General features: G+C 50.4%; 2 protein-coding genes and 1 long non-coding RNA gene across 14 annotated transcripts in view, besides 12 other annotated features; 1 reads left to right on the forward strand and 2 right to left on the reverse strand.

The window, feature by feature from the left end:
- Positions 1–2277, reverse strand: part of FKBP5 (FKBP prolyl isomerase 5) — a 154994-nt gene extending 152717 nt beyond the window's left edge. The window contains exon 1 of the mRNA NM_001145775.3: positions 2202–2277. The gene's annotated coding sequence lies outside the window, so the exon portion shown is untranslated. The remainder of the gene's footprint in view (positions 1–2201) is intronic.
- Positions 456–10641, reverse strand: LOC285847 (uncharacterized). Its single transcript, NR_027117.2, has 10 exons — positions 10535–10641; positions 9457–9572; positions 8774–9058; positions 7537–7721; positions 5887–6121; positions 5186–5263; positions 3016–3200; positions 2202–2314; positions 1899–1954; positions 456–827 (listed from the first exon to the last, which is right to left on the reverse strand). It is a non-coding gene; the product is annotated as an uncharacterized LOC285847 (long non-coding RNA).
- Positions 1618–1847: a silencer, noted in NCBI's record as "silent region_17097". NCBI's record gives its function as "represses an Ori minimal core promoter by ATAC-STARR-seq in GM12878 lymphoblastoid cells {active_cell/tissue: GM12878}" and the evidence as "EXISTENCE:reporter gene assay evidence [ECO:0000049][PMID:35858748]".
- Positions 1618–2080: a biological region, named in NCBI's record as "Sharpr-MPRA regulatory region 11861".
- Positions 1786–2080: an enhancer, noted in NCBI's record as "tiled region #11861; K562 Activating DNase matched - State 1:Tss". NCBI's record gives its function as "activates a minimal TATA promoter and a strong SV40 promoter by Sharpr-MPRA in K562 cells {active_cell/tissue: K562}" and the evidence as "EXISTENCE:reporter gene assay evidence [ECO:0000049][PMID:27701403]".
- Positions 2358–2407: an enhancer, noted in NCBI's record as "active region_24412". NCBI's record gives its function as "activates an Ori minimal core promoter by ATAC-STARR-seq in GM12878 lymphoblastoid cells {active_cell/tissue: GM12878}" and the evidence as "EXISTENCE:reporter gene assay evidence [ECO:0000049][PMID:35858748]".
- Positions 4966–5095: a silencer, noted in NCBI's record as "silent region_17098". NCBI's record gives its function as "represses an Ori minimal core promoter by ATAC-STARR-seq in GM12878 lymphoblastoid cells {active_cell/tissue: GM12878}" and the evidence as "EXISTENCE:reporter gene assay evidence [ECO:0000049][PMID:35858748]".
- ARMC12 (armadillo repeat containing 12) lies at positions 5218–22773 on the forward strand. Of its 12 annotated transcripts, XM_047418343.1 has the most exons (9): positions 5218–6228; positions 8672–8762; positions 9719–9884; positions 10674–11046; positions 11721–11866; positions 12078–12212; positions 20955–21128; positions 21270–21341; positions 22232–22773. In XM_047418343.1, the coding sequence occupies exons 4-9, from the start codon at positions 10803–10805 to the stop codon at positions 22562–22564; spliced, it is 1104 nt and encodes a 367-aa protein (XP_047274299.1). In that variant the 5' UTR covers positions 5218–6228; positions 8672–8762; positions 9719–9884; positions 10674–10802; the 3' UTR covers positions 22565–22773. The 12 variants fall into 12 exon arrangements, with proteins under 12 accessions (XP_047274299.1, XP_016865924.1, XP_047274303.1 ...); XM_017010435.3 differs by having other exon boundaries at positions 8672–9884; XM_047418347.1 differs by having other exon boundaries at positions 8672–10965.
- Positions 5476–6005: a silencer, noted in NCBI's record as "silent region_17099". NCBI's record gives its function as "represses an Ori minimal core promoter by ATAC-STARR-seq in GM12878 lymphoblastoid cells {active_cell/tissue: GM12878}" and the evidence as "EXISTENCE:reporter gene assay evidence [ECO:0000049][PMID:35858748]".
- Positions 5526–5820: an enhancer, noted in NCBI's record as "tiled region #7900; K562 Activating DNase unmatched - State 1:Tss". NCBI's record gives its function as "activates a minimal TATA promoter and a strong SV40 promoter by Sharpr-MPRA in K562 cells {active_cell/tissue: K562}" and the evidence as "EXISTENCE:reporter gene assay evidence [ECO:0000049][PMID:27701403]".
- Positions 11006–11614: an enhancer, noted in NCBI's record as "H3K27ac-H3K4me1 hESC enhancer chr6:35705089-35705697 (GRCh37/hg19 assembly coordinates)". NCBI's record gives its function as "activates a minimal SCP1, AML or CMV promoter by ChIP-STARR-seq in naive H9 embryonic stem cells {active_cell/tissue: H9 hESC(naive)}" and the evidence as "EXISTENCE:reporter gene assay evidence [ECO:0000049][PMID:30033119]".
- Positions 11615–12223: an enhancer, noted in NCBI's record as "H3K27ac-H3K4me1 hESC enhancer chr6:35705698-35706306 (GRCh37/hg19 assembly coordinates)". NCBI's record gives its function as "activates a minimal SCP1, AML or CMV promoter by ChIP-STARR-seq in naive H9 embryonic stem cells {active_cell/tissue: H9 hESC(naive)}" and the evidence as "EXISTENCE:reporter gene assay evidence [ECO:0000049][PMID:30033119]".
- Positions 12832–13440: an enhancer, noted in NCBI's record as "OCT4-NANOG-H3K27ac-H3K4me1 hESC enhancer chr6:35706915-35707523 (GRCh37/hg19 assembly coordinates)". NCBI's record gives its function as "activates a minimal SCP1, AML or CMV promoter by ChIP-STARR-seq in naive and primed H9 embryonic stem cells {active_cell/tissue: H9 hESC(naive and primed)}" and the evidence as "EXISTENCE:reporter gene assay evidence [ECO:0000049][PMID:30033119]".
- Positions 13441–14048: an enhancer, noted in NCBI's record as "OCT4-NANOG-H3K27ac-H3K4me1 hESC enhancer chr6:35707524-35708131 (GRCh37/hg19 assembly coordinates)". NCBI's record gives its function as "activates a minimal SCP1, AML or CMV promoter by ChIP-STARR-seq in primed H9 embryonic stem cells {active_cell/tissue: H9 hESC(primed)}" and the evidence as "EXISTENCE:reporter gene assay evidence [ECO:0000049][PMID:30033119]".
- Positions 21167–21366: a silencer, noted in NCBI's record as "fragment chr6:35715250-35715449 (GRCh37/hg19 assembly coordinates)". NCBI's record gives its function as "represses an EF-1alpha promoter that drives an FKBP-Casp9 reporter gene in an ReSE screen in K562 erythroleukemia cells {active_cell/tissue: K562}" and the evidence as "EXISTENCE:reporter gene assay evidence [ECO:0000049][PMID:32094911]".

Below are 24530 nucleotides of genomic sequence, written 5' to 3' on the forward strand. Positions count from 1 at the left end.
AGTGCCCAGGGACTGAGGGTGGGGAGCCCAGATCCAAGGCTGCCTCTATGCTCTGGTTGGCTTTGGGAAGGCAGGCCTGGCTTGGGCACTGTGCCCTCCAAGCCTCCCAATCCTATCCCCCCAACCTTAAATATTAGAGATAATGCATGTGAAGTGCCTAGCGTGGAGGTTGTTTTGTGGTGATGTCAAGCAGAATGAGTCACGTCCACCCCTCCCATCTCCTCCTCCTCCACACACACACACACACACACACACACACACACACACACACACACAGCTCAAGGCCTAGAACCTCCTGGGATCTTTCTCCCATATCTTTCTCCCTAGAACCACCTTCTTTCTTCTGAGTCCCTATAGCTATTACACACATTTGGTACTCACCACCTGCTGGCTTGGGTTATTATTTAACCTAACATCCAGCGTGTTTGTCTCTTCAATTGCCCAAGGGGAGGATATCATTTCAATACACCCAATATTTATTGAACATGAACTCCGGTGCCAAGCCTGGCCTGTGGGGGATGAGTTGGAATGGTGGTGGGAGGCGGGGGCAGTGGAGGAGAGGGCTCAAAGAAGAAGCAGACTTTGTTTCTGCCTCAAGGACTTTCTAATCTGGTTAGAAGAACAGGATTAGTAAACAGATCGCTAGAATATGAGACAGGCCACACGCTGTGCCGTGAGAAAGGTACAAACTGAGTGTGCTGGGCGTTCAGAGGAGACAGGAATCAGATTTGGCTGGCACTGTTTCAAGGAAGCTTTATGAGCTGGAGCAGCAGAGATGGGTAGACAGGGAGGACAGGCACTCCTGGCATGAGAAATGGCACAGCAAACTGTGGAGGTGGGAAGGAGGGAGAACAAAGGACTTCAGGACTGTGTCTTAACCTCATGGTGACATTCTTTAGCAGGACCCAATACAGAGCCTTCCACACGGTAAACGTGCGATATAAATGCTTTGTTCCCTCCTTGGTTTGGAGAGGGTGGGATCTTTAGGACCAGCACTTAGTGATGTCTTTCCACAGAAGGATGGGTAAGGAGAAAACGTGGCTCTGAATAAACCAGGGGTTTGGAGCTAAACACAGGGAAGGGTCAGATTCCAGGGGCAGTTTGGGGTCGTCTTCCTTGGCCTTGCCCTTCTTTCACCCTGTCGTCCACACCCACTCGCCAGTGTCTGGGCTCTCCCTACTCCCGGCGTCGTGCCAGGGATTTCCCAAACCGTCCAAAAGGGCTGGGCTTGGTTTGCCAGCCCCGGGAATCCCTGGAGTCTCCGTGTTCCAGGCTTCTGTGAAGGATCAGGGAAGGGGGGCTAGGAAAGGGGAGGCTCCTCCTGGGGATTGCTTGAATTGGCCCCCTCAACACGGGCTTCCGTTGTCACGTGACTGCGTCCCAGGTCTCGCAAGTCTGGGGCTGGCGAGCTCCAGCTATCCTCCTCCCGCCCCCCGGACTGAGCGCTGGAGAAGCACGGACTGAGCGCTGGAGAGCGCTGGCGGCAGCCTGGGTGGCTCCTTCTGCTCGTAGAGCTCCCCACACCTGCTCCCTCCCCCAGCTGTGCTAATCCAGGCGCCACCCAAGCCTGGGGTACCCAAGCAGGGGCAAATGGGGGATGGCTAGGTCTGGGTGCTCCAAGGCCGGTGAGTGGGCAGGGCTGCGGGGCCCACGCGCGCCCCGGAGGTTGCTCGCCAACCCCTGCCCCAGCGTGCAATCGCATGGTTGCGGCGGCCGGGAGGCTGCGCGCCGAGCGCAAGCCGCGAGCACAAACAGGGCGAGGAGGCTGGTGTGAGCGCCTGGGCCCGCTGCCAGCGCGCCGGGGCTGGAACACAATGTCCCGAGCGGGCGGGCGGGCGGGCGAGCGCGAGCGAGAACAGCCTGACTCAGCAGCTGGGTAAGTGGGTGTGCTCGCTCACCAGATCAACCGCTCTTGCAGCCTGCGGTCAGCGACGACCCGGCACTCGGCAGCTCCCTGGAACGGGAGGGGCAAGCATACGGCCCGCTCCTCTGCTCGCGCCCCAGCCTGCCGCGCGAGACCTCCACGTGGCCGGTTTGCGCATCCCTCTGCCTTCTCGCCCCTCTATTAAAGCGTCTCCCAGCCCCCAGCCTGAGCGCAGCAGGCTCTGCCCACCTGGGAGAAGCACTCTCCTCACCCCACCCGACAGGTGTGGCCAGGCACACAGCTGCTGTGTACATGTCCTGTTTTCCCCAAATCTCACCCCTCTGGGACGCCTCGGAAGGTCTTGGCATGGGGGATGTAACTCTTAGTTGCAAACAGAGGTAGGAGTTTGTTCTGGGGTAGTGGTGGAGTAGGGAGCCGAGGAAGGGGATCCTAGGAGAAAAGAGGGACATAGGGCAAGAGGATCTCCCCTATCTCTGTCCTCAGCTGACCCAGAGTTCAGAGTCTCTTCCTGCCCCCTCCCCTCAAAACCACTAGGCCCCTGAAGATTTCCTCCTCGGAGGGAGGGAGAGGCAGGTGGTGTGGTGTTTTGAAGCCCGAGACCCTGCTTTTCTGCCCCCACCCCCAAACCACAATAAAGACCCAATAAAGATCCTGCCACCTAGCCACAAAGCTCCTCCTTCCCCCTCTATGCAGGGGAAATGGGGTCCCATTTGGGGTCCCCACTGGGGACTTATGCTGTCCCTATGCTGTCTCCTGGCGTCTTGTGGGGCCATTGTGAGGATGACAGCAGCCCAGAGCAGGGTTATTCCTGGGGGTGGGGACCTGTCTCACGTCCCAGCTTCCTGGGGTGCCTGCGCAGTGCCCTGAGGGATGCTTTGTGCCTGGAGAGTGCCAGGACAGGCGGGGAGGAGTGGTTCCGGGAAAGGCCCTGGCAGGCAGCATAGGCCTGGGCTCCAGGGCCTTTGAGAGTGGGCCTAGGGGAGGGACCTCAGGCTGCTGAAGTGCCTCACCTGGGCCTCCTGCCATCTGGTGGCATCTCTGGCACCCTCTGTGGCTAAAGATGCCAACACAGGCCTGGGCCGTGGACCCCCTTCCCATACACACATCACGCTTCCCACACAGGCTCTTACCCAGCCAATGCACACTGCATCTCCCAGTCGAGAGGCACCTTCACTGCCATCTACTCCCACCTTCTTCCTGATGCTTGAAATCTGTCCGTGATCCCAGGTCAGTGATTGCTCGAGGCTGTGACAGGGACACTCTCAGACAGCAGCCCACTGCTCTTCTGGACTTCCCTATCTCCAAGTCCAGTCACCTACAGGACACCTGCCCTTACATGGCCTAGAAGTGACTGAACTCATATTCATGCCCCTCATACCAGCTCCTCCCCATTGCCCACCATGACCCTCCCAGTCCTAAAACTCACTGCAAAGGTAGATTAATTTTTAACTGCTTTCTCTCCTTCACCATCCTTATGTCTGATCTCTTATCAAATTCTTCCCTTTGTTGCTTTTATTTCAAAAGATATTGTTTGTTCATTACTTTTCTCCTTCACCCTTTCCCCTCCAGCCCCATAGAGTCCACCTTTGGCCCAAATTCTCACAGCATCTGCCACACTGTCCTTTCTTTTTCCTTCCTCCTACACACCCTGCTGGAATAATCTTTCTCAAACATCATTTATTGTGTATGTTATCAACTTCAGACTCCTCAACCAAGCACAGTGAGTACACTAGCTAACCTGTGTACTCTCTGTGATGGGACCTGAGTTCATTCATGGCATGTCCAGGCCACGGGGTTTAGTGCAGTGCCTCCTGCACAGCAGTAGGGCAGCAAATGTTCCTCGTGACCCATTCATTTGGTGGTGTTCCCTTTCCATCCTTCCTATTCTCTCTCCTGCCTTGGTCTCCCCAGTCCCATCAAGCCTATTGGCTTACTGGTGCTCACTGGGGCCCTTTTGTTTGAAGTGCCACTATTTTTCATTTCCCCAAAATCTTTGGTGGGGGGCGGGGGGTGGTGGCTGGTGGGGAAGGGAGAGGCTGACATCCAAGTTAATATCAGGGAGGTTGTGGCAAATACCAACTGCAAAACCTTGGGTGCAGAGTAGAATGAGGGCAGATGCCTGCTAGGAGGGCAGATGCCTGCTCAGTAAGAGAACAAAACCACAGAGGAGGGCAGAAGGTGGAAAGGAGAGTGGCGTAACTAGTGGCTTCCCTCTGAGCCTGTGAGCTGCCTTTAATCTTTTCCTTTTTTTTTTTTTATTTTTTGAGATGGAGTCTTGCTCTGTTGCCCAGGCTGGAGTGCAGTGGGGCAGTCTCGGCTCACTGCAACCTCTGCCTCCCCGGTTCAAGCAGTTCTCCTGTCTCAGCTCCCCGAGTAGCTGGGACTACAGTTGAACGCCACCATGCCCGGCTAATTTTTGCATTTTAGTAGAGACAGGGTTTCACCATATTGGTCAGGCTGGTCTTGAACTCCTGACCTCAGGTGATCCACCCGCCTCAGCCTCCCAAAGTGCTGGGATTACAGGTGTGAGCCACCGCGCCCTGCCTAATCTTTTCTATATTTTATTGCTTAGTTATGTCCTGCAGTATTTTAAACCCTTTCTCCCATGGGCTGTAGGCTCCTTAATGGCAGGGACAGTGTCTTTTATTTATTTGATACCATTTACTTATTTTGAGAAGTGGGCATGAAATACTTTGGAGGGCACATAAAACTTGGGTCTGGATCCTGGTTCCAACACTTAGCTGTTTGGCCCTGGGTAAGTCTCTTAACCTCTCTGAGCCAGTTTCTTCGTCTGTAAAAGTCGCTAGTGACACTTGTTTTGCAGAATGAGGGGCAAAAATTACAGAGAATACAAAGCACCAGGAAAGTGTCTGTTGTACCCAATAGTTTATATTCCTTCCCCGTATGGTTAGAGCCTTTCCTAAATTGGGAGGAAGGTGTTCCTTAACTACTGCCCATACTGGGACACTTTAAACTTGAAAAGGGGCACTGTTAATAATTACGTCCGTTCCAGGGACGCAGAGCCACCCTACCCTAGTTCACAACAACTGGCAGGGTTCGGATAGCACGCAATATCCCAGTGCCTAAGCACAGCCCCAAGCATAACGCTCAATAAATGCCTGTTGAATCAACGAGCGAACAGAAGCTGACCCTCACTCCGTTTTTTGGACATCATTGAGTGAAGCAAATTGAAAAGCCCGCCCCCGCTGCGCCCCCACCCCCACCCCGTCCCAGAGCCACCAGCAGCCTCAATTCCCCGAGGTCTGCCCTTCTCTAGCCCACCGTCCCGCCCCCAGTTGCCTTGACATCAGTGACGTCGCGAGGGGCGTGGCCTCTCTCCATCGTCTCCTGGTGCCCTGGGCCCCTCCGCATCCGAACCTGGGGGGAGGATGAGGTTGGTGGCCTTTGACCGTACTCGCCTCCCGCCGGGCCAGCATCTAACTAAGCCCGCCTGGCCGCCCTTCTCGGGCGCGCAGTTGTCTCGAGTGTGGGTACCCACCTCCACCCCCACCCTCACCCGGGTGAACTAGCGGGGGTTCTAGAGAGTGCCGGCTCCCAGTGAGCCCTCTCCAACAGCTGCGGGCCACGAGATCCTGAGAACCTGGGCCCAGCGCTCAGCCCAGGCCCGCCCCTTCCCGGGCAGCCCCGTCGCTCCGCGTCCTAGGGGGCGGGCGGGAAGGATGGGACCCCCGCCTAGGAGGCGCGCAGGCGCCGCCGAGCGCGGGAGAGAAAGAGTTAAACTAGGTGCCGGCGCCGGGCGCGGCGGGAGTGGGGGAGGGGAGCGAAGAGAAAGTGAGAGCGGGGGCGGAGCGGGGACGGGAGCGAAAGAACATCCTGTGCCCGTCGCCGGATGCGCGCGGGGGGAGGAGGTAGTCCGGGGAGGGAGAGCAAGACCGGGGGAGGCCCGGGACGGGGAAAGGCGCGGCCTCCTTCCCCCCGCCGCAACCTCCTCCTCTGGGGGCGCTGGCCCCCTCTGCTCCCCGCGCCTTAGGCTGAGCTACCCGGAGGCCCCAGGATCTGGTTCCTGGGCAGGAGTAAGCGCTAGCTGGGGAGATGATCTCGGAGAGTGTGGGATCCACGTTAAGGCAGGGGCGGCCCCCAGCCTTTCATCTCTTGGCTTTCTGCAAGGGAAGCTCGCACGTGTTGAGCGTCCCCTGTGCACCGAAAGTACACACATTATCTCAGTCCTGACAGCGGCACTTCCAGGCAGTAGACAGGAATTCATAGACTCGCATTCTAGAGGAGGAAACAGACTCAGATTATGGAATTTGTCCAAACCCCACACTGTTGGGATGTGAATGCAAGCCTGTCGGACTGCAAAGGGCTTTTCACTGGAGTTTAGGGTAGGGTAATTTCCCCTTAGCTTCTATGCGCACAAGTGCTGGGCCGCTGCAGCGTCACCCTCGGGAATGGCGGTGTCTTTTCGTAGAGGACCCCCAACAGTATCTGTCTGGAGCTTCTGTCATTAACTAGGCTTAAACAACCATTGCCAGGATACTGGTAAAGAGAATGAGGAAGGGGCCTTAGGATTCCACAGGTAGTTGGATGGTTCTTAGGAACACAGTTTAGGGGAATGTGTTGCAGGGCTCCTGTTCCTCATTTAGGTATTTGTGGGGGCTTCAAAGATGGCTCCAGAGTCACTCAAAGCAGTTACATGGATTACAGGAGTTGGGATTGATTGACTTTAAGAAGACCAGGGAGGCCTGGTGTGGTGGCGTAAGCCTGTAATCCCAGCACTTTGAGAGGCCGAGGCAGGCGGATCACCTGAGTGTAGGAGTTCGAGACCAGCCTGGCCGAAATCGTGAAATCCAGCCTACTGAAAATACAAAAATTAGCCGGGCGTGGTGGTGCGTGCCTGTAGTTCCAGCAACTTGGTAAACTGAGGCACAAGACTTGCTTGAACCTGGGAGGCGGAGGTTGCAGTGAGCCGAGATGGCGCCACTGCACTCCAGCCCGGGTGACAGAGCCAGACTCCGTCTCAAAAAAGAGAGAGAGAGAAAAAATAAAAAAGACGACCAGCGTGAGAGGTAGTGGGTAAGTGGAAGGAAGGGCTGACTCATGTGCTTTTCAGGCTGGGATGCTTCGAGGGCTACCATCTGTGTTCTCACTGCCTGCCCACGCCCCACATGTTGTCCAGGTGAAACCTGCGGAGATAATTAGGATTATAGTAAACATTTGTTGAGCTCTGTGTGTTGGGCACTGTTCCAAGTGCTTTACTTAATCCTCACAAACAATCCCATGAAGTAAGTCTTATTGTTTCTATTTTACAGGTGGGGAAAATGAGGCACAAGGAGATCACAAAGCTAAGTCCATGACTAAACTGGTTTGTTTGTTTTGAGATGGAGTCTTGCTCTGTCACCAGGCTGGAGTGCAGTCGTGCCATCTCGGTTCACTGCAACCTCCGCCTCCCGGGTTCAAGCAATTTTGCCTCAGCCTCCTGAGTAGCTGGGATTACAGATGCACACCACCACGTCCAGCTAATTTTTGTATTTTTTAGTAGAGACGGGGTTTCCCCATGTTGGCCAGGCTGGCCACTCTGACCTTGTGATCTGCCCGTCTGGGCCTCCCAAAGTACTGGGTTTACAGGCGTGAGCCACCGCGCCCAGCCCTGAACTGGTTTTGAACCCTGCCTAGAACCCATACTTACTTACTAAACTCAAATGTACTTAACACGATGAGAACATCGGCCTTGAAGGTAAAAATGCTGGCATAGATGGCAAAGAGGTGTGTGCTTGGGCAGCTCATGTCCTTTTCCTGGGTAAGGCAGGTAGTAACTCACAGCTGGCTGTGTGTATTTTGGCTCTCAGACTTCTTTTTAACCAGTGGTTCCAGATTTCTGGATTTGACAGAAAAACAAAGCCAGAAAACAAGTGAAAGCCAGGTTCCCATAAAGAGTTGCAGCTTTAAATTTACGCTCCCTAAGGGCATGGAGAACATACCTACGATCTATTATCACCATCATTAAAGAAAATACTTCTGTTTCTTTGAGACAGGGTCTGGCTCTGTCACCCAGGCTGGAGTGCAGTGGCATGATCTCGGCTCACTGCAACCTCTGCCTCCCAGGTTCAGGCAATCCTACCGCCTCAGCCTCCAGAATAGCTGGGACTACAGGCACGCACCACCATGCTGAGCTAATTTTTGTATTTTTTGTTGGGGGTTGGCGGGGTTTGCTTCAGCCCAGGCCAGGCTCGAACTCCTGGGCTCAAGCAATCCACTCGCCTCAGCCTCCCAAAGTGCTGAGACTGCAAGTGTGAGCTACCACGCCTGACCTAAGAAAATACATTTTAATTCTCAAAATAGGAGTGACATCATCTGAATCTGTTAGTTCCAGCCAGGCGCGGTGGCTCGTGCCTATAATTCCAGCCCTTTGGGAGGCCGAGGCAGGCGGATCATGAGCTCAGGTGTTCGAGACCAGACTGGGCAACATGGCAAAACCCTGTCTCTACCAAAAATACAAAAAATTAGCCTGGTGTGGTGGCGCATGCCTGTAGTCCCAGCTACTTGGGAGGCTGAGGCGAGAGGATTGCTTGAGTCTGGGAGGCAGAGATTGCAGTGAGCCAACATCGCACCACTGCGCTCCAACCTGGGTGACAGAGTGAGAACCTGTCTCAAAAAAAAGAAAAAAAAAAAAGAAAGAAAACAATTATTCCCAAGAAAAGATGGTCAATGGACTTTATGCCAACAAATAGACATTCCTTTGTCTTTAATTTTTTTGTTGTACTGTGGACTAGTAAAAATGTCACTCTAGGAATGACTCTGCCTCTAATCTCTCTGAATCATTTGAAGGCAGAACCAGAAGAAATGGGCCTTAGGTGTGGCAGGAGGGAGTTAGGTTGCAGCCAAGAAAGAACACTTTTTGGAGGTCTTTAAAGAACAGGTGAGCCTTACCTGTGCTTAGGAAGTGAGGGTTGCAGAATCGGCTCCATGGGATGGAGGGGCCAGTAACTCTGGGTCCCACCCTGGAGAAGGGCAGAGCAAGGACCTTGTCTTGAGGGATTTATTCTCAGATCCACCAAAGTAGCCTGGGAACCTAAATGACAGTTCCCATCAGGCAGCCGTTTTCTGCTCGGAGTTCAGTGGAGATGCGATGGGGTTGCATGGCAGTGGGGAGGCTTCCATGGGCTTCTACTCACCCCTCACCACAGGGAGTTCATGTAGTCACCCACCTTGGGGCTAAATAGAGTGCCAGGAATGATGACCCTTGAGGAGGGCTGAGGACAGGAATAGAATGGCCACCCAGGAGTGTTGCTTGTTCCCTGCCTGCTGCCTAGGGTGTACTGGGCCAAGGCTCTGAGTGGGCAGGCCTGGCTGGCCGCAGCATCATTGGAGATGCTGTTTCCCTACCTCCTTCCATCCTGGGTGCAGCCCAGGACCCAGAGCCTTCTGTCCCAGTTCTCCCAAAAAGGGATCAGGGCCAGGTAGGTGAACACCTGTTCTGGTGCAGCATGCTCAGCACTGGCTGTGGGCGTGGCCCTAGTTTGGAGCTGGCCACTTGCCTGTTCTGCAACAGAGAGTGGGGACAGAAGTTGCGGGGAGACCCTGGTGGGGAAGAGGGAAGGGTCTGGTCTCACCTGCCCCATCCTAGTGGTGGGGATCAAGACCTCCACAGGTGGGCTCACATCCTCTGGGGTGGTGGCATCTTCTGACTCCAGAGGACCTCACAAGCCGCCTCATATCCCTGGGGAGGCTGAGAGGTGATACTTCCAAATTTAGCTGAAAGGCACAGACTTACCCACATTTTAATCCTGGAGTTTTAGAATGGTAAATCCGAATCCCTTTAGGTTACAAATGCAGAAACAGACTAAGGCAAAGGCGATCCCTTTCTCCTCCAAGGTCACTCTGGTTAGAAGGGTCTGGAGCCCCAGTTACTAGATGCTGTCATTGTTCTGCCGCCAAGTCCTTAAAGAATGGCAGAACATGACTTAAACCACCTGCTAAGTACAAGATTCTATGCTGGAGATGCAAAGGTAGCTGTCCTCAAGAGCACTTTGTCAAACAGGTAAACTTCAGGGCAACATGCAGATGCTGGAAAAGGGTGGATTTGCCTCAAGAGTCTGTGCATGCTTTCTAAGATACTCCCCTCCTTTTCATCCTCTGATGCGGGGAGGGAACCCTACCTGAAGAAACACCCCAAGGCCCAGGGGTAGATCTAGGGTGGAGAGATCACATATGGGAGGGCCCGGAAAGAAAAGGAACAGGGTTGTCAATGGGCATACCCCAAACACCTCACCCAGAAATGCCCTAAGGCCCCAGCCCGGAAATGGACCTCTGCTGCCCTCTAATGGTGGAAAGGCAGCCTCTGGAGCTACCTGCTGGGGTCCCCCCTTAAAGAAGAGGAGATGTGAAGGACACTTCTGCCCTCTCCCCTTTTATTCCCCTTCTGTCTTATGCTTCATCTCCTGTGGTCTCTAAAGCAGAACCTTCTCTTTTTTTTTTTGAAATGGAGTCTTGCTCTGTCGCTTAGGTTGGAGTACAGTGGCGTGTCAGCTCACTGCAACCTCAACCTCCCAGGCTTAAGCGATTCTCCTGCCTCAGTCCCCTGAGTAGCTGGGATTACATGTGTGCGCCACAATGCCTGGCTAATTTTTTTGTATTTTTAATAGAGACAAGGTTTCACCATATTGGCCAGGCTGGTCTCGAACTGCTGACCTCAAGTGATCTGCCTGCCTTGGCCTCCCAAAGTGCTGGGATTACAAGTGTGGGCCATGGTGCCTGGCCCCATCTGTTCTCGAGCACTCCTGGCTGCCCCATTTCCTGACCACTGCCCTCCATCCCATTATCTCCCCAGTTTCCTTTGTTGCCTAGGTTCCAATTCTGGTACCCTGGTTCCTGACCCTGCCAGAGTTCTGGTTCCGGAAGGCCCCCCACAGGTGCCTTGGGCCTAGCTCTCACCTGGGCCCAGGGCAACACTGAAGACATGGGCAAGAGCATCCCCCAATACCTGGGGCAACTGGACATCCGCAAAAGCGTAGTCAGCCTGGCCACAGGCGCCGGGGCGATCTACCTGCTCTACAAGGCCATCAAGGCTGGCATAAAATGCAAACCACCCCTCTGTAGCAACTCACCCATCTGCATCGCCCGTGAGTGTCCGGGCCCTGGGGAGAGGGCTCTGCCCCAGGAGGCACCTGCTCCCGAGGCCTCTGCTGTGGGAGGGCCCAAAGGTGATGCCTCCAAGTTCCTCTTTCCTTTGTCTTTCTCTTGTCCATCTTCCTCAAGCCCACCCTGCAGCGTCCTAGGCAAGGCCCTGCCAGAGATGCTAGCTCAGGGTCCCTGGATCTCACTCAAGTGGATCCTCAGACTCATCTGGCAGGTCTCCAAATACTACATTTCCTCTGGCTCCCAGGATTCCACTTCTTGGAAACTTGGTGTCGGCAGCTCCCCCCATCCCTTTTCTGCCCTAGGAACGTGAGGCTTTAAGGAAAGGGAAGATTGGAGGACTTACTATATGCCCAGAGCTTCCACTAGTCCACATGTTCTTTTGTGCAGAGTAGGAAAATGAGCCCCTTCTGCAAGACTCTTTATTGCCATCTGCTGGAATATCATTGCCACATACTGGTTATGATGAAATACTACTTGTTACCGCCATATGCCAGACAGTTGTTAGAGTAAATGGACAAATCTATGATGGTACGTTATGGACAATACAACATTAGATAGGGTGCCCTTGTGCAGTAAACATTCGTTCAACTGTACATGGTGGTCCTGCATATGGCGAGAAGGCTTCTCCGAAAAGGCAAGGCAGCCTTGTCCCCAAGTCCCTGTCCCCTACTTCCCAACCCCATTCTTTCATCACTTCTGAGTCCACAGCCTGAACTGGGCTGGGGTGGCTGTCTAGGCCTGGCAGTCGAGCGAGAGCGGCACGGGCGGGACTCAGGTGAGCTCCGGAGGCTCCTCAACTCTTTGGAGTGCAAACAGGATGAGTATGCCAAGAGCATGATCCTGCACAGTATCACTCGCTGTGTGTACTTGCTGGAGGCTGAGGTAAGGGAAGCAGGAGGTCCCCCCTAGCCGGCCTGGCCCCTGGGGGTTACGGCCGATCCCTGCCCCTGGAATGGCCAGACTATATCCTGGGACCTCTCTCTGGCTGATAGCGGTGGGGGGGGGGTGTGCGGAGGGATCTTGGTGACATGGGGGGCAGTGGGCCCAGAACACCCGCTTCTCCTGCCTCTTCCATCTCTCCCCAATACTCCAGGCCTCTGCTTGTACTACGGATGACATCGTGTTGCTGGGCTACATGCTGGATGACAAGGACAACAGTGTCAAAACCCAAGCTCTGAATACACTTAAAGCTTTCTCTGGCATCAGAAAATTCAGGCTCAAAATCCAGGTGAGCCCAGGGATGCGTGGTGGGGCATGCAGGATGTCTATAGTCCTTAAGTCCTTTAATTGCCATAGGATAAATGGTCATGTTCCAGAAGTTTGTTTGGGTGTGAATTTGTAACCCAGAAATAAGTGGGAAAACGGTGGTCAGATTCCCAGCAGGGTCATGAAGGCCTTTGAATTTCAGGATGAAACTGAATTGAGGCACTAGTGGTATCTCTCAACCCCAAAGAGAAGGACCCCCACTACCCCACAAGCTCCCTACCACTGCCACGTTTTTTCTGACACCAATTCCCAACACTGGCTGGGTGTTCAACAATTCAATTCAGTTCAGACACTATCCATAGTTAGGGCAGACTTCACAGGTTAAGGGCTGAGTCCCCCAAGACTTCCCCCCGACTTCAGGTACCAATCATAGGTCTGACTTCTGACTGGCCCGCTATGAATTCGGGGGTTCCCACAACTCCCTTTTTAGATCTACTAATTTGCTAGAATGGCTCCCAGAACTCAGGAAAGGACTTTACTTACTATTACTGGTTTTTTATATAAAGGACACAACTCAGGAACAGCTAAACGGAGGAGACACATAGGGCAGGGTGTCAGGGCGCGGAGCTTCCAGGCCTGTTCCTGGACCAAACTGAGGGCTGGGCTGCTATTGCTCCTGGCCCAATAACGAGATGCAGATGAACTGGGGAGGAAGAGAGTTTTTATTTCTGTAACCGGTTACAGGGAGAAGGCCAGGAAATTATCGCTGGACCAACTCAAAATTACAAAGTTTTTCAGAACTTATATACCTTCTAAGCTATATGTCTATGTGTAAATGTGCATTCATCTAAAGACGTGATTAACTTCTTTTAATTTATAACTAAGGTCTGAGTCCTGAAGACCTTCCACTGGAGCCTCAGTAAATTTACTTAATCTAAATGGGTCCAGGTGCTGGGGTGATTACCCTTATTTTGTCTCTTGCTAAATCAAGGAGTTTTGAGGAATTCCTTCAGATCCCAATAAACTTGTTTGTGGAGACCTGTGGCGTTTCTTCAGATCCACAGTAAAACTTGTTTAATCCTAAATGGGTCCCATTAAGAATTCCTTCGTAATTTTGTCATGCTTTAAGGCCCAGGAAAGGCCTAGGCAAAACTCCTGGTGGGCTTTTGTTACATTCCAGCCTTTGTATAAGGGCACTGGCTTTTAACATTTAACTTAACCACGCAGTCAGTACTGAAACAGTTGTTATGGAGGCCTGCCACAAGCTCACTTCAGGAGTGCCCTGCTGTTCCCAGCACCTCCACACGTTCAGCAACCAGGAAGCTCTTTGAACCCCATTGGTCAGAGGTTTTTATTATGTAGTCTTGATGAATTAAATCATGTCCAGCTGCTCACCCCTCCCCAGAAGTTGGGAGCAAAACTGAAAATCCCAACCTTCTAATCATGCTTTGGTCTTTCTGGCAACCAGAAGCTATCCAAGGACCCTGCCTGGAGTCACTTCATTAGCATAAGCTCTGTTGTGACCAAAAAGGGTTGGTTTGCAGTAACAAAGGACACTGCTGTCACTCAGGAAATTCCAAAGGTTTCAGGAGCTCTGTTCCTGGAACTAGGGACAAAGATCAGATGTATTTTTTATACTCTATCCCCTGGGCCTGTGTTAATCAGAGGTTGGTGTCATGGCCACGGATAACTTCTCCATTACTCCATAGACAAAATGTAAAACACCACATGTCACTTCCCCCTTTCCCTGCTATCATACCCCCAAACTTACAGTATCCACACCCATCCTCCCTGCTTTCCTGCTGCTGCCATGAAAAAAATGGCTTTCTCCTGGTCTGTGGCCAGTGATAGTCTCAATCCTGCCTCCCACCCCTTCCTTAAGGGCCTCTCTGATTGCTTACGCTCCGCTCCCCCATCAGCATGCAGTAGGCTCCAACCCCTCCCATCTTACAAAGCAAAACCAAAAAAGCCTCTCCCTTGACCTCCACATCTCTTCCTGGCAAATAGTCTATCTCTCCCAAATTAAAAACAAATAAAATATGTAAAACTTGCAAATATTGTATATGTGTAAGTTAGAAGGAATAACAATAAAACAGAACATGCCCAGGCCAAGAAATAGAGCACAGCCCCCTCCCACATCTTGGCTGCCTCCCCCACCAGAGGCAGTCATTACCCTGCATTTTGTTTAGCAGTTCCAAATTTTCTTTGTAGTTTTACCATATATGTATGTATCCTTGCATATTCTAGCAGGGCATAGCAGATAATAAAGAGGTAAAATATAGTCTGGTATGTTTTTAAGCTTCATGTACATGGAAGTAGATGGTTTCTATTCTGTGGTTGGCCTTTTCTCCCTGCTACGTGGAGAGATTCATCCTTATTGGGCAGCTCTGCTTCCTTCTGGTTTTTTTTTTTTTTTTTTTTGAGACAGGGTCTCGTTCTGTCGCCCAGGCTGGAGTGCAGTGGCGTGATCTTGGCTCACTGCAGCCTTGACTTCTCAGGCTCAAGCAGTCCTCCCACCTCAGCTCCCCTAGTAGCTGGGAGTACGGGTGTGCTCAGTGAGTACGGGAGTACTATGTTTCTCAGGCTGGCCTTGAACTCCTGGGCTCAAGCAATTCTCCCCCCTGGGTCTCTTTCACCGCTCTGTGGTGGTCTCTTTCGTGAATACTCTGCCACTTGCCCGTTGTTAGGCATTTGCATTGTTTCCAGGTGCTTGTCACACTCACATTGTGCTGTGAACATTCCTGTGTTCGTCTCCCTTGTGTGCCTGAGAGAGGATTCTAGGGTGTGTATGCAGGAGTGGAATGGTTTGGTCAAAGGGTATGCCCAACTTTTCCAGGAGGGAGGTATCCATTTTCACCCCACCAGCCCTGCACGAGTGTTCTATTGTGTCATAACCTAACGTTTGATAATTTCACATTTTAATTTTTTTTTTTTTTGAGACAGAGTCTTGCTCTGTTGCCCAGGCTGGAGTGCAGTGGCACGATCTCGGCTCACTACAACCTCTGCCTCCCAGGTTCAAGCAATTCTTGTGCCTCAGCTTCCAGAGTAGCTGGAATCACAGGCGTGCGCGCACCACCATGCCTGGCTAATTTTTTTGTATTTTAGTAAAGACAGGGTTTCACCATGTTGGCCAGGCTGGTCTCAAACTCCTGGCCTCAAGTGATCTGCCTGCCTCGGCCTCCCAAACTGCTGGGATTACAGACATGAGCCACCATGCGTGGTCCACATTTTAATTTTTGGCATCAAACTTTTTTGGGGAAAAAATTCTCTTTACATGTATCCTCAAAATATGCACAACTATGATATATCAATAAAAGCAAACACACAAAAGAATAAAAATAGATTGAGAAACAAACAGAAAAAAATACCTAGAGAGATCTCTGCTTGCTGCCTCATCCCTCAGCCTTCTCAAGTGCAGTGGTACGATCTTGGCTTACTGCAACCTCCACCTCCAGGACTCAAGTGATCCTCCCACCTCAACCTCCCTAGTAGCTAGGATTACAGGCATGCACCAATATGCCCGGCTAATTTTTGTATTTTTTTAGAGGTGGGGTTTTGCCATGTTGTTCAGGCTGGTCTCGAACTCCTGAGCTCAAGTGATCCACCTGCCTCAGCCTCCCAAAGTGCTGGGATTGCAGGTGTCAGTCACCACACCTGGTCAGGCTGTGATTCTCAAGCATATTATAATCACCTGGAGAGCTTGTTAAAAGCAAAGATTTTGGCTGGGCGCAGTGGTTCAAGCCTGTAATCCCAGCACTTTGGGAGGCTGAGGTGGGCAGATCACCTGAGGTCAGTTCGAGACCAGCCTAGCCAACATGGAGAAACCCCGTCTCTACTAAAAATACAAAAATTAGCCGGACGTGGTGGCGGGCACCTGTAATCCCAGCTATCCGGGAGGCTGAGGCAGGAGAATCACTTGAACCCGGGAGGCAGAGGCTTGCAGTGAGCCAAGATCACGCCACTGCACTCCAGCCTGGGCCACAGAACGAGACTCTGTCTCAAAAAAAAAAAAAAAAAAAAAAAAGCCCAGGGAGTTCAGTTCAACAGGAGAACTTTGTTTTTCACAAATCCCCCAGGAAATTCTGATGCAGGCGGCCTGAGTCCCACTCTTCCTTTTTTTCCCCAGTGTCTTTATGCTGAGGGCCTGACCCCTGGTCTCTTTTCAGGTGAAAGTAGTTACTCCTTGATCTCAATTTCCATCTAGCTGTGCCCTTCTGGATCTCTGCAGCCTGTGGGCTCCCCTGCCTTCCCCATGGGCAGCTGCTACTAGGCATATCCACTTAGATGCCCTCCAAGTTCTCTAACCCAACATATCCAAAATGGAGCTCACCCCATTCCCTGAATCAGCCCACTCTCTCCAGAGGGCTCTTAGGCCATCAGGCCCTTTGGGTCTGCCTCAAGGCTCTCAGCATAAAGTGCGTGATTGGCCATGGGCTGCACCTCCTTGCCCTAACCCCAGCCACGTACAATGCATGCTTTATGCTCTCACATGCCCCCTTGCTGCTGTTCCCTCGTTCTGAAACCCTGTCCCAGACTTGCTGACTCCAACCTGTCCTGCGGGTCGCCACGGCTTTTGAGGGGTGGGGGAAGGGAAGGGCAGGTACTGATGGGAATGCTCACTTCCACTCCAGGACTCTTGCTTACTTCTTACATGGCTCATAAAGGTGCAGCTCGTGAGGTTACCTGTCTTTGGTAATGCCTCTAGGTCCAAGCATCTTACTTTTTTTTTTTTTTTTTGAGACGGAGTTTCGCTCTTGTTGCCAAGGCTGGAGTGCAATGGCGCGATCTCAGCTCACCGCAACCTCCGCCTCCCGGGTTCAAGTGATTCTCCTGCCTCAGCCTCCCGAGTAGCTGGGATTACAGGCATGTGCCACCACGTTCCGCTGATTTTTTGTTTTTGTAGTGGAGATGGGGTTTCTCCATGTTGGTCAGGCTGATCCTGAACTCCCAAGCTCAGGTGATCTGCCCACCTTGGCCTCCCAAAGTGCTGGGATTAAAGGCGTGAGCCACTGCGTCCTGCCCGCATCTTGCATCCTAGAACCGAAGATCCCTTTATTCACTCAATAAATGTAATATTGAACACTTTGTGCCAACACGCTGCTCTAAGTACAGGAGAGAAAGCAGTAAACAGAACAGGGAAGATCCCTGTGCTTGTGGAATTTATATTCTAACAGGGCAAGGCAAGCAATACACAAATAAGTAAAATATATAGTGTGTTTCATGTGGTAAGTGCCATGGAGAAAAATAAAAGGCGGGGGGTGGATAAAGGAGTCTGGGTGGGGGTGATGCAGTTTTCAAGAAGAAAATCTTGAACCCAGGAGGCCTGTAATCCTAGCTACTCAGGAGGCTGAGGAAGGAGAATCACTTGAACCCAGGAGGTGGAGGTTGCATTGAACCGAGATCACCACATTGCACTCCAGCCTGTTTGATGGGAGTGAGACTCCATCTCAAAAAAAAAAAAAGAAAAAAGAAAAAGAAAATCTTTTGAGATGTTGGGCTTGGTGAAGAGTTCATGACATCAAAAGCATGATCTATAAAAGGAAAATCAATACATTGGACTTTATTAAAATTAAAAACATTTGCTCCATGAAAGATCCTGTTAAGAGAATGAAAAAAGCTGCAGACTGGGAGAGTGTATTTGTTTTTGTTTTTGTTTTTGTTTTGAGATGGAGTCTTGCTCTGTCACCCAGGCTGGAGTTCAATGGCACAATCTCGGCTCACTGCAACTTCCGCCTCCCGGGTTCAAGCGATTCTCCTGCCTCACCCTCCCAAGTAGCTGGGATTACAGGTGTACACCACCATGCCCAGCTGATTTTTGTATTTTTAGTAGAGACGGGGTTTCACCATGTTGGCCAGGATGGTCTCGGTCTCTTGACCTCTTGATCCGCCCACCTCGACCTCCCAAAGTGCTGGGATTAGAGGCGTGAGCCACTGTGCCTGGCTGAGGGAGTATATTTGAAAATCACATATCTGATAAAGGACTCAGCTAAATTGTATCAAGTGCTTTCAAAACTGAATGTTAGGCCAGGCATGGGGGATCACGAGGTCAGGGGTTTGAGACCAGCCTGGGCAGCATGGTGAAACCCCATCTCTACTAAAAATACAAAAACTAGCTGGGCATGGTGGTGGGCACCTGTAATCCTAGCTACTCAGGGGACTGAGAAAGGAGAATCACTTGAACCTGGGAGGTGGAGGTTGCAGCGAGCCGAGATCGCACCACTGCACTCCAGCGTGGGCAACAGAGTGAGACTCTGTCTAAAAACAAAAACAACCCTGATGTTAAAACAAGCAGTCCAATTAGGAAATGGGCAAAATACATGAACAGATATTTCACTGAAGAGGATATATGGATGGCAAATAAGCACATGAAACCATGTTTAATATCACCAGCCATTAGGGAAATGCAATGAAGACCATGCTGAGATATTACTGTGCACCTATTAGAAGATCTAAAATCAAAATTAGTGACGATACCAAATGCTGGCAAAGATATAGAAAAACCGGATCTTTCATATATTGCTGGTGGGAATATAAAATGGTACAGCAGCCACTCTGGAAAATAGTTTGGCAATTTCTTTCAGAACTAAACATACATTTACCAATTCAGCAGTTGAACTCTTGGGCCTTTATCCTAGAGAAATGAAAACTTATATCTGCACAAAAACCAGTACACGATTGTCGATAGCAGTTTTATGTGGAATAGCCCCAAACTGGAAACAACCAAAAATGTCTGTCAATCGGTGAATGGTTAAACAAAATGGTATAGCCATTACCATGGAATGCTACTTAGTAATAAAAAGGAATATAATATTGATATGCACAACAACTTGGATGGTTCTCAAGGGCGTTATGCTGAGTGAAAAAAGCCGATCTCAAATGATCACATAAAGTGTGATTTCATTTATATAACATCCTCAAACTTAAAAGGTCATATATAGAGATGGAAAACACAAGTGGTTGCCTGGGCTTTGGGCTGGGGGAGCAGGTGGGAGTGAGTCTAAAGGGGTCTCTTGAGATAGATCTTTGTGGCAATGGGACAGTTCTGGTGGGATAATCTGTTGGCTGCAGTTGTGGTTACACAAATATGTGCATGTGCTGAAATGACATAGAACTATGCACACATATTACACCAACACCAATTTCCTAGTTTTGCTATTATACTATAATGCAAGATGTGACCATTGAGGGGAACTGGGTGAAGAGCACATGGGACCTCGCTGTACTATTTTTGCAACTTCCTGTAAATTTATAATCATTTCAAAATAAAGGCCGGGCGCGGAGGCTCAGGCCTGTAAACCCAGCACTTTGGGAGGCCGAAGTGGGCATATTACCTAAGGTCAGGAGTTCAAGACCAGCCTGGCCAACATGGCGAAAACCCGTCTCTACTAAAAATACAAAAATTAGTTGAGCACGGTGGCGTACACCTGTAATCCCAGCTACTTGGGAGGCTGAGGCAGGAGAATCGCTTGTACCTGGGAGGCAGAGGTTGCAGTGACCCAAGATCTCACCACTGCATTCCAGCCTGGGCAACAGAGTGAGACGGTCTCCAATAAAATAAAATAAAATAAAATTAAATTAAAAAACAAAATTAAAGAAATGAAAATGTGTGTTACACGTGACAATGCTGTAGAGAAAAATAAAATAACAGTGGAGGGTGGTAAGGAAGGCTGGGATGGGGGTGGTTAGAGAAGGCCTTACTGAGAAGGTAACATTTTAATGAAGTCTTAAAGGAGGTGTGAGAGTGAGTTGTGAGTATCTGGGGATAGAGTGTGCTAAGCAGAGGGCACAGCCTATGCAAACACCCTAAGACAGGTGTGTACCTGGCATGTTCATGGAATATGTAAGAGGCCATTGTGATGGGAACCTTGGTCATGAGGGAGAGAAGAGAAGATGGAGTCCAAGACATAATAGGGAGAGAGGGGCAGATCACATTGGACCGTATGCCACTGTAAGGACTTTAGCTTTTACACTGAATGAAATGGGGGCTCTTGAGCAGAGGAGTGACATGTCTAACATGTCAGCTGCTCTGAAAGTAGATGCAGGGGGTGAGAATGGAAGCAGGGAGACAGGAGGCTATTGCAGAAATCCCGGTGAGATGCCAGTGGCTTGAAAGAGGGTGGTAAGAAGTGGGGGTGAGGAGAAGTGGCTTGAATTTTGATAGATTTTTGAAGGTAGTGCCTACAGGATTTTCTGAAGGGTTGGAAAAGGAGTGTGAGAGAAAGAAAGGAGTTGATGCCAGCAGTTTTTGGCCCGAGCCACTGGAAGGAAAGTGTAACCCATAGCTGAGACAGGGAAAGCTATAGAAGGAGCAGGTCTGGGGATGGGGGAGCGTGTTAACTCTGAGAGCTCTATTAGACATTTGGGGAGAAAAGTGGAATTGGTAGCTGCATATATGAGTCTGGATTCAGGGGAGGGACAACATAGCTGGAGCTAGAGACATAAAGGGGAGAGTCACCAGCATGTGGATCGTATTTAACACTGTGAGTCTGGATGATACCGGTATGGGAGTGAGGTAGGTAGAAAAGAGGAGGTTGGGCAGAATAGCTAGGAAAGAAGTCTGTAAAAAAAAAAAAAAAAAAGCCAAATAAAGAATTTCAAGGCAGTGGGAGTGGGCAACTGGGTCAAATTATGTTGAGAGTTAGGGAGAATTGTCTATTGGGTTTGGCCCAGGGGACATCCATGGGGACAGTGAAGAGTAAAGTCAGATACTGGGATAGTGGTGATCACCTGTAAAAGTAAGCCCTTTTGTTCTCCCCCACTCCAGGAACACTCCATCAAAGTACTCGAACTGATCTCCACCATCTGGGACACGGAACTGCACATTGCGGGCCTCAGACTCCTCAACAACCTTCCACTGCCCGACTATGTGCATCCACAGCTGCGACGGGTGATGCCTGCCTTGATGGAGATCCTGCAGTCAGACTACATCCTGGCACAGGTGCCTGAGGACCATGGCCAAGGCCCTGCCTTGCTGACCAGCCCTAGCACAGTACTTAGAGGGAGGAGCAGAGGTTTATATCTTCCTTGCTGAGGCCCAGACTCACCTGCCTTCTCATGCTTTACTCTTTCCTTTATTCAGGTGCAAGCCGTACGACTGCTGAGCTACCTGGCACAGAAGAATGACCTTCTCTATGACATTCTCAACTGCCAGGTGAGAAAGAAATTGAAGAGGGGCTGATGAATGCCAACTCAGGTATAGGGGGAGGGAAGAATCATGGCATCTCCAGACAGATTTACCCCTGATGAATTGTTTTAGTATCTTCCTGCCTCTGCACTAAATGCACTGAAAATCATGCCTCTTCTGTTCCCCCCAGTAGAAGGAGACTCCATTTTATTGGGAGGGGGATCCCCCTTTGAGGCATTTCCTGAACTCTGAGAGTTAGGAACACAGGAGACAAAACAAAAGTTAATGTAGGTATTTTAATATTGGGGGGAAATTACTATGGCAAAGAGCATTATTAGGGATAGAAAAGGTTACTCTGTGATAATCAGTGGTTCAGTTCACCAGAACAGTAGGGCAACTCTAAACTTGTATGCACCTAATAACATAGTCTCAAAATATATACGACAAAAATTGAAAGGAGAAATTAACAAATATACCACTACAGTGGGAGATTTGGAATATTTTAACCATTCTTGCAGCAACTGATAGATTAAAAAGCCAAAATTAGTGAGGATATACTCTTAGTGAATAACACAAATAAGCTTGAGCCATTAGACATACTCAGAACAGTCTACAAGGATTAAATGCACAGTCCTCTCAAGCACACACACAATACTTAAGAAAATTAGTCACACACTAAGCCTTAAAATTTGTCTCAACAAAATTTCCAGAATGAATATTATCATATCACTCATGTTTTATGATCACAAGGCAATTAAATTAGAGGATAATAATAAAAGAAAAACTAAAAAATTACTATATACTCGAGTCTGAAATTTAGGTATATTTGGGAGTTTAGGCAATAGGAATATACAAGAACAAGAATTTTGTAACTTGCCTAGGAGTTTATTCCCATTCTTTCTCTATTCCCATCACAGGTTCACTCCAACTTCCTAAACCTGTTCCAGCCCACACAGTCAGGGAGTCTCCTGTATGAGGTACTGGTGTTTGCTGAGCGGCTGAGTGAGGGCCGGAACGCACCCCACTACCACGTGGTGAAATGGCATTACAACGAACAGTCCCTGCATGAATCCCTCTTTGGGGAAGAGTCCCGACTGGCAGACCGACTACTTGCCCTGGTCATCCACCCTGAGGAAGATGTTCAGATCCAGGCCTGCAAGGTCATTGTCAGCCTGCAGTATCCCCAGGACTTGAGAGCCCGGCCCTCCTCCTGCCAGCCCAGTCGTTCCTACTTTAAAAACACGGAATAAAATTAAGGAGAGCCAATAAATGAGTATAGGAGAGAAACTTGAAGTTTCTTGAAGCTCGAATGTCTGTTGGTGGCCTTCCAGGGCTGGGTGGAGATTTCATTCAGCATAACCTCTGCTCCAGAGTGTGGTACAGCATGGGCTTATCTCTCAAAACACATCCCCACTTCTATGTTTGGGGGACTAGCTCCCCTCTTCTCTTGCTGCTTTTCTTTCTTTTTTTTTTTTTGAGATGGAGTCTTGCTCTGTTGCCTAGGCTGGAGTGCAATGGCACAATCTTGGCTCACTGCAACCTGCGCCTCCCTGGTTCACGCCATTCTCTTGCCTCAGCCTCCCGAGTAGCTGGGACTACAGGCGCCCGCCACCACGCCCAGCTAATTTTTGTATTTTTAGTAGAGGTGGGGTTCGGCATGTTGGCCAGGCTGGCTCTTGCTGCTTTTCAAATCAATGTGGAGCCATTGCTTTCAGGGGGTTGGAAGAAGGCAGGCTTGGGGATTGAAGCCAAAGATAATCAACAGGACGCAGTATAGCATTAGATTAGTTAGGATGGGCCAGGCTATCCCACAGTAACAACACTCACACCTCAGTGGCTTAAACATGGCAAAGGGGGCCAGGCGCGGTGGCTCACGCCTGTAATCCTAGCACTTTGGGAGGCCGAGGCGGGCAGATCACGAGGTCAGGAGATCGAGACCATCCTGGCTAAAACGGTGAAATCCCGTCTCTACTAAAAATACAAAAAATTAGCCGGGCGTGGTAGCAGGCGCCTGTAGTCCCAGCTACTCAGGAGGCTGAGGCAGGAGAATGGCGTGAACCCAGGAGGCGGAGCTTGCAGTGAACCGAGATTGCGCCACTGCACTCCAGCCTGGGCGACAAAGCGAGACTCCGTCTCAAGAAAAAAAAAACATGGCAAATGTTAATTCTTGTTTACACTGCATGCCCATTGCAGATCAGCGGTGGGGGTGGAAGGGCAGGCCTCTACTCCACAACATCCTCACACAGAGACCCAGGTTGAGGGAGGCTTCCTCATTGTGTTTCTACAACTATTACAGAAGGACAGGGAATGTGGTAGTGATAAATGTCATCACTTCTGCTCACATCTCATTAGCCAAAGGGGATGAGGAAGATCATTCTTTCCACGTGTCCAAGGAAGAACTGTTGATCCTTGGTGACAGCATGAATGACAGAGATCTGCAGGCATACTGGGTCAGAAAGGGAGCTCTGGAATCAGAGTGCTCGCTTCCAGTCCCAGCTCTGTCACTTACTGTGTGACCTCAGGGGAGCAGTTAACCCTATTTGAGCTTCAGGCCCCTCATCTATAAAATGCATATAATAATAGTACTGATTTCATGACGCTGTTGGGAAAATGAAAGGGGGATTATATGAGTTAACGAACGTAAGCCACAGTGTTCTGCATGCATTCCTCAAAGATGGGCTCTGAGGAGCTATGAAATCATCACTGAGAAAGCCGGGCAGAGTGGCTCACGCCTGTAATCCCAGCACTTTGGGAGGCTGAGGCGGGAGGATCACCCGAGGTCGGGAGTTCGAGACCAGCCTGACCAACACGGAGAAACCCCGTCTCTACTAAAAATACAAAACTAGCCAGATGTGGTGGCGGGCACCTGTAATCCCAGCTACTTGGGAAGCTGAGGCAGGAGAATTGCTTGAACCCGGGAGGCAGAGGTTGCGGTGAGCTGAGATCACGCTATTGCACTCCAGCCTCAGAGACAGAGGTGCGAGACTCCATCTCAAAAAAAAAAAGAAATCATCACTGAGAAAACAAAAGATCATCACTGGGGAGGTCCTTGGAGAGTGTTGCCTCCAGCATTTCTCCAGTCTCTTCAGGTTATGGGCACTGGGGAGTCCTAGAGTCCTCTATGAAGCGTGCTGAAAAGTCATTGAAACTTAGCTTTGGAAACCAGAACAATGGTGTGAGTAATATAACACCATAACCATGAAGTTTCCAGAAACA

Source organism: Homo sapiens, chromosome 6 (assembly GCF_000001405.40).
Source record: "Homo sapiens chromosome 6, GRCh38.p14 Primary Assembly".
Classification (NCBI taxonomy): Eukaryota; Metazoa; Chordata; class Mammalia; order Primates; family Hominidae; genus Homo; species Homo sapiens.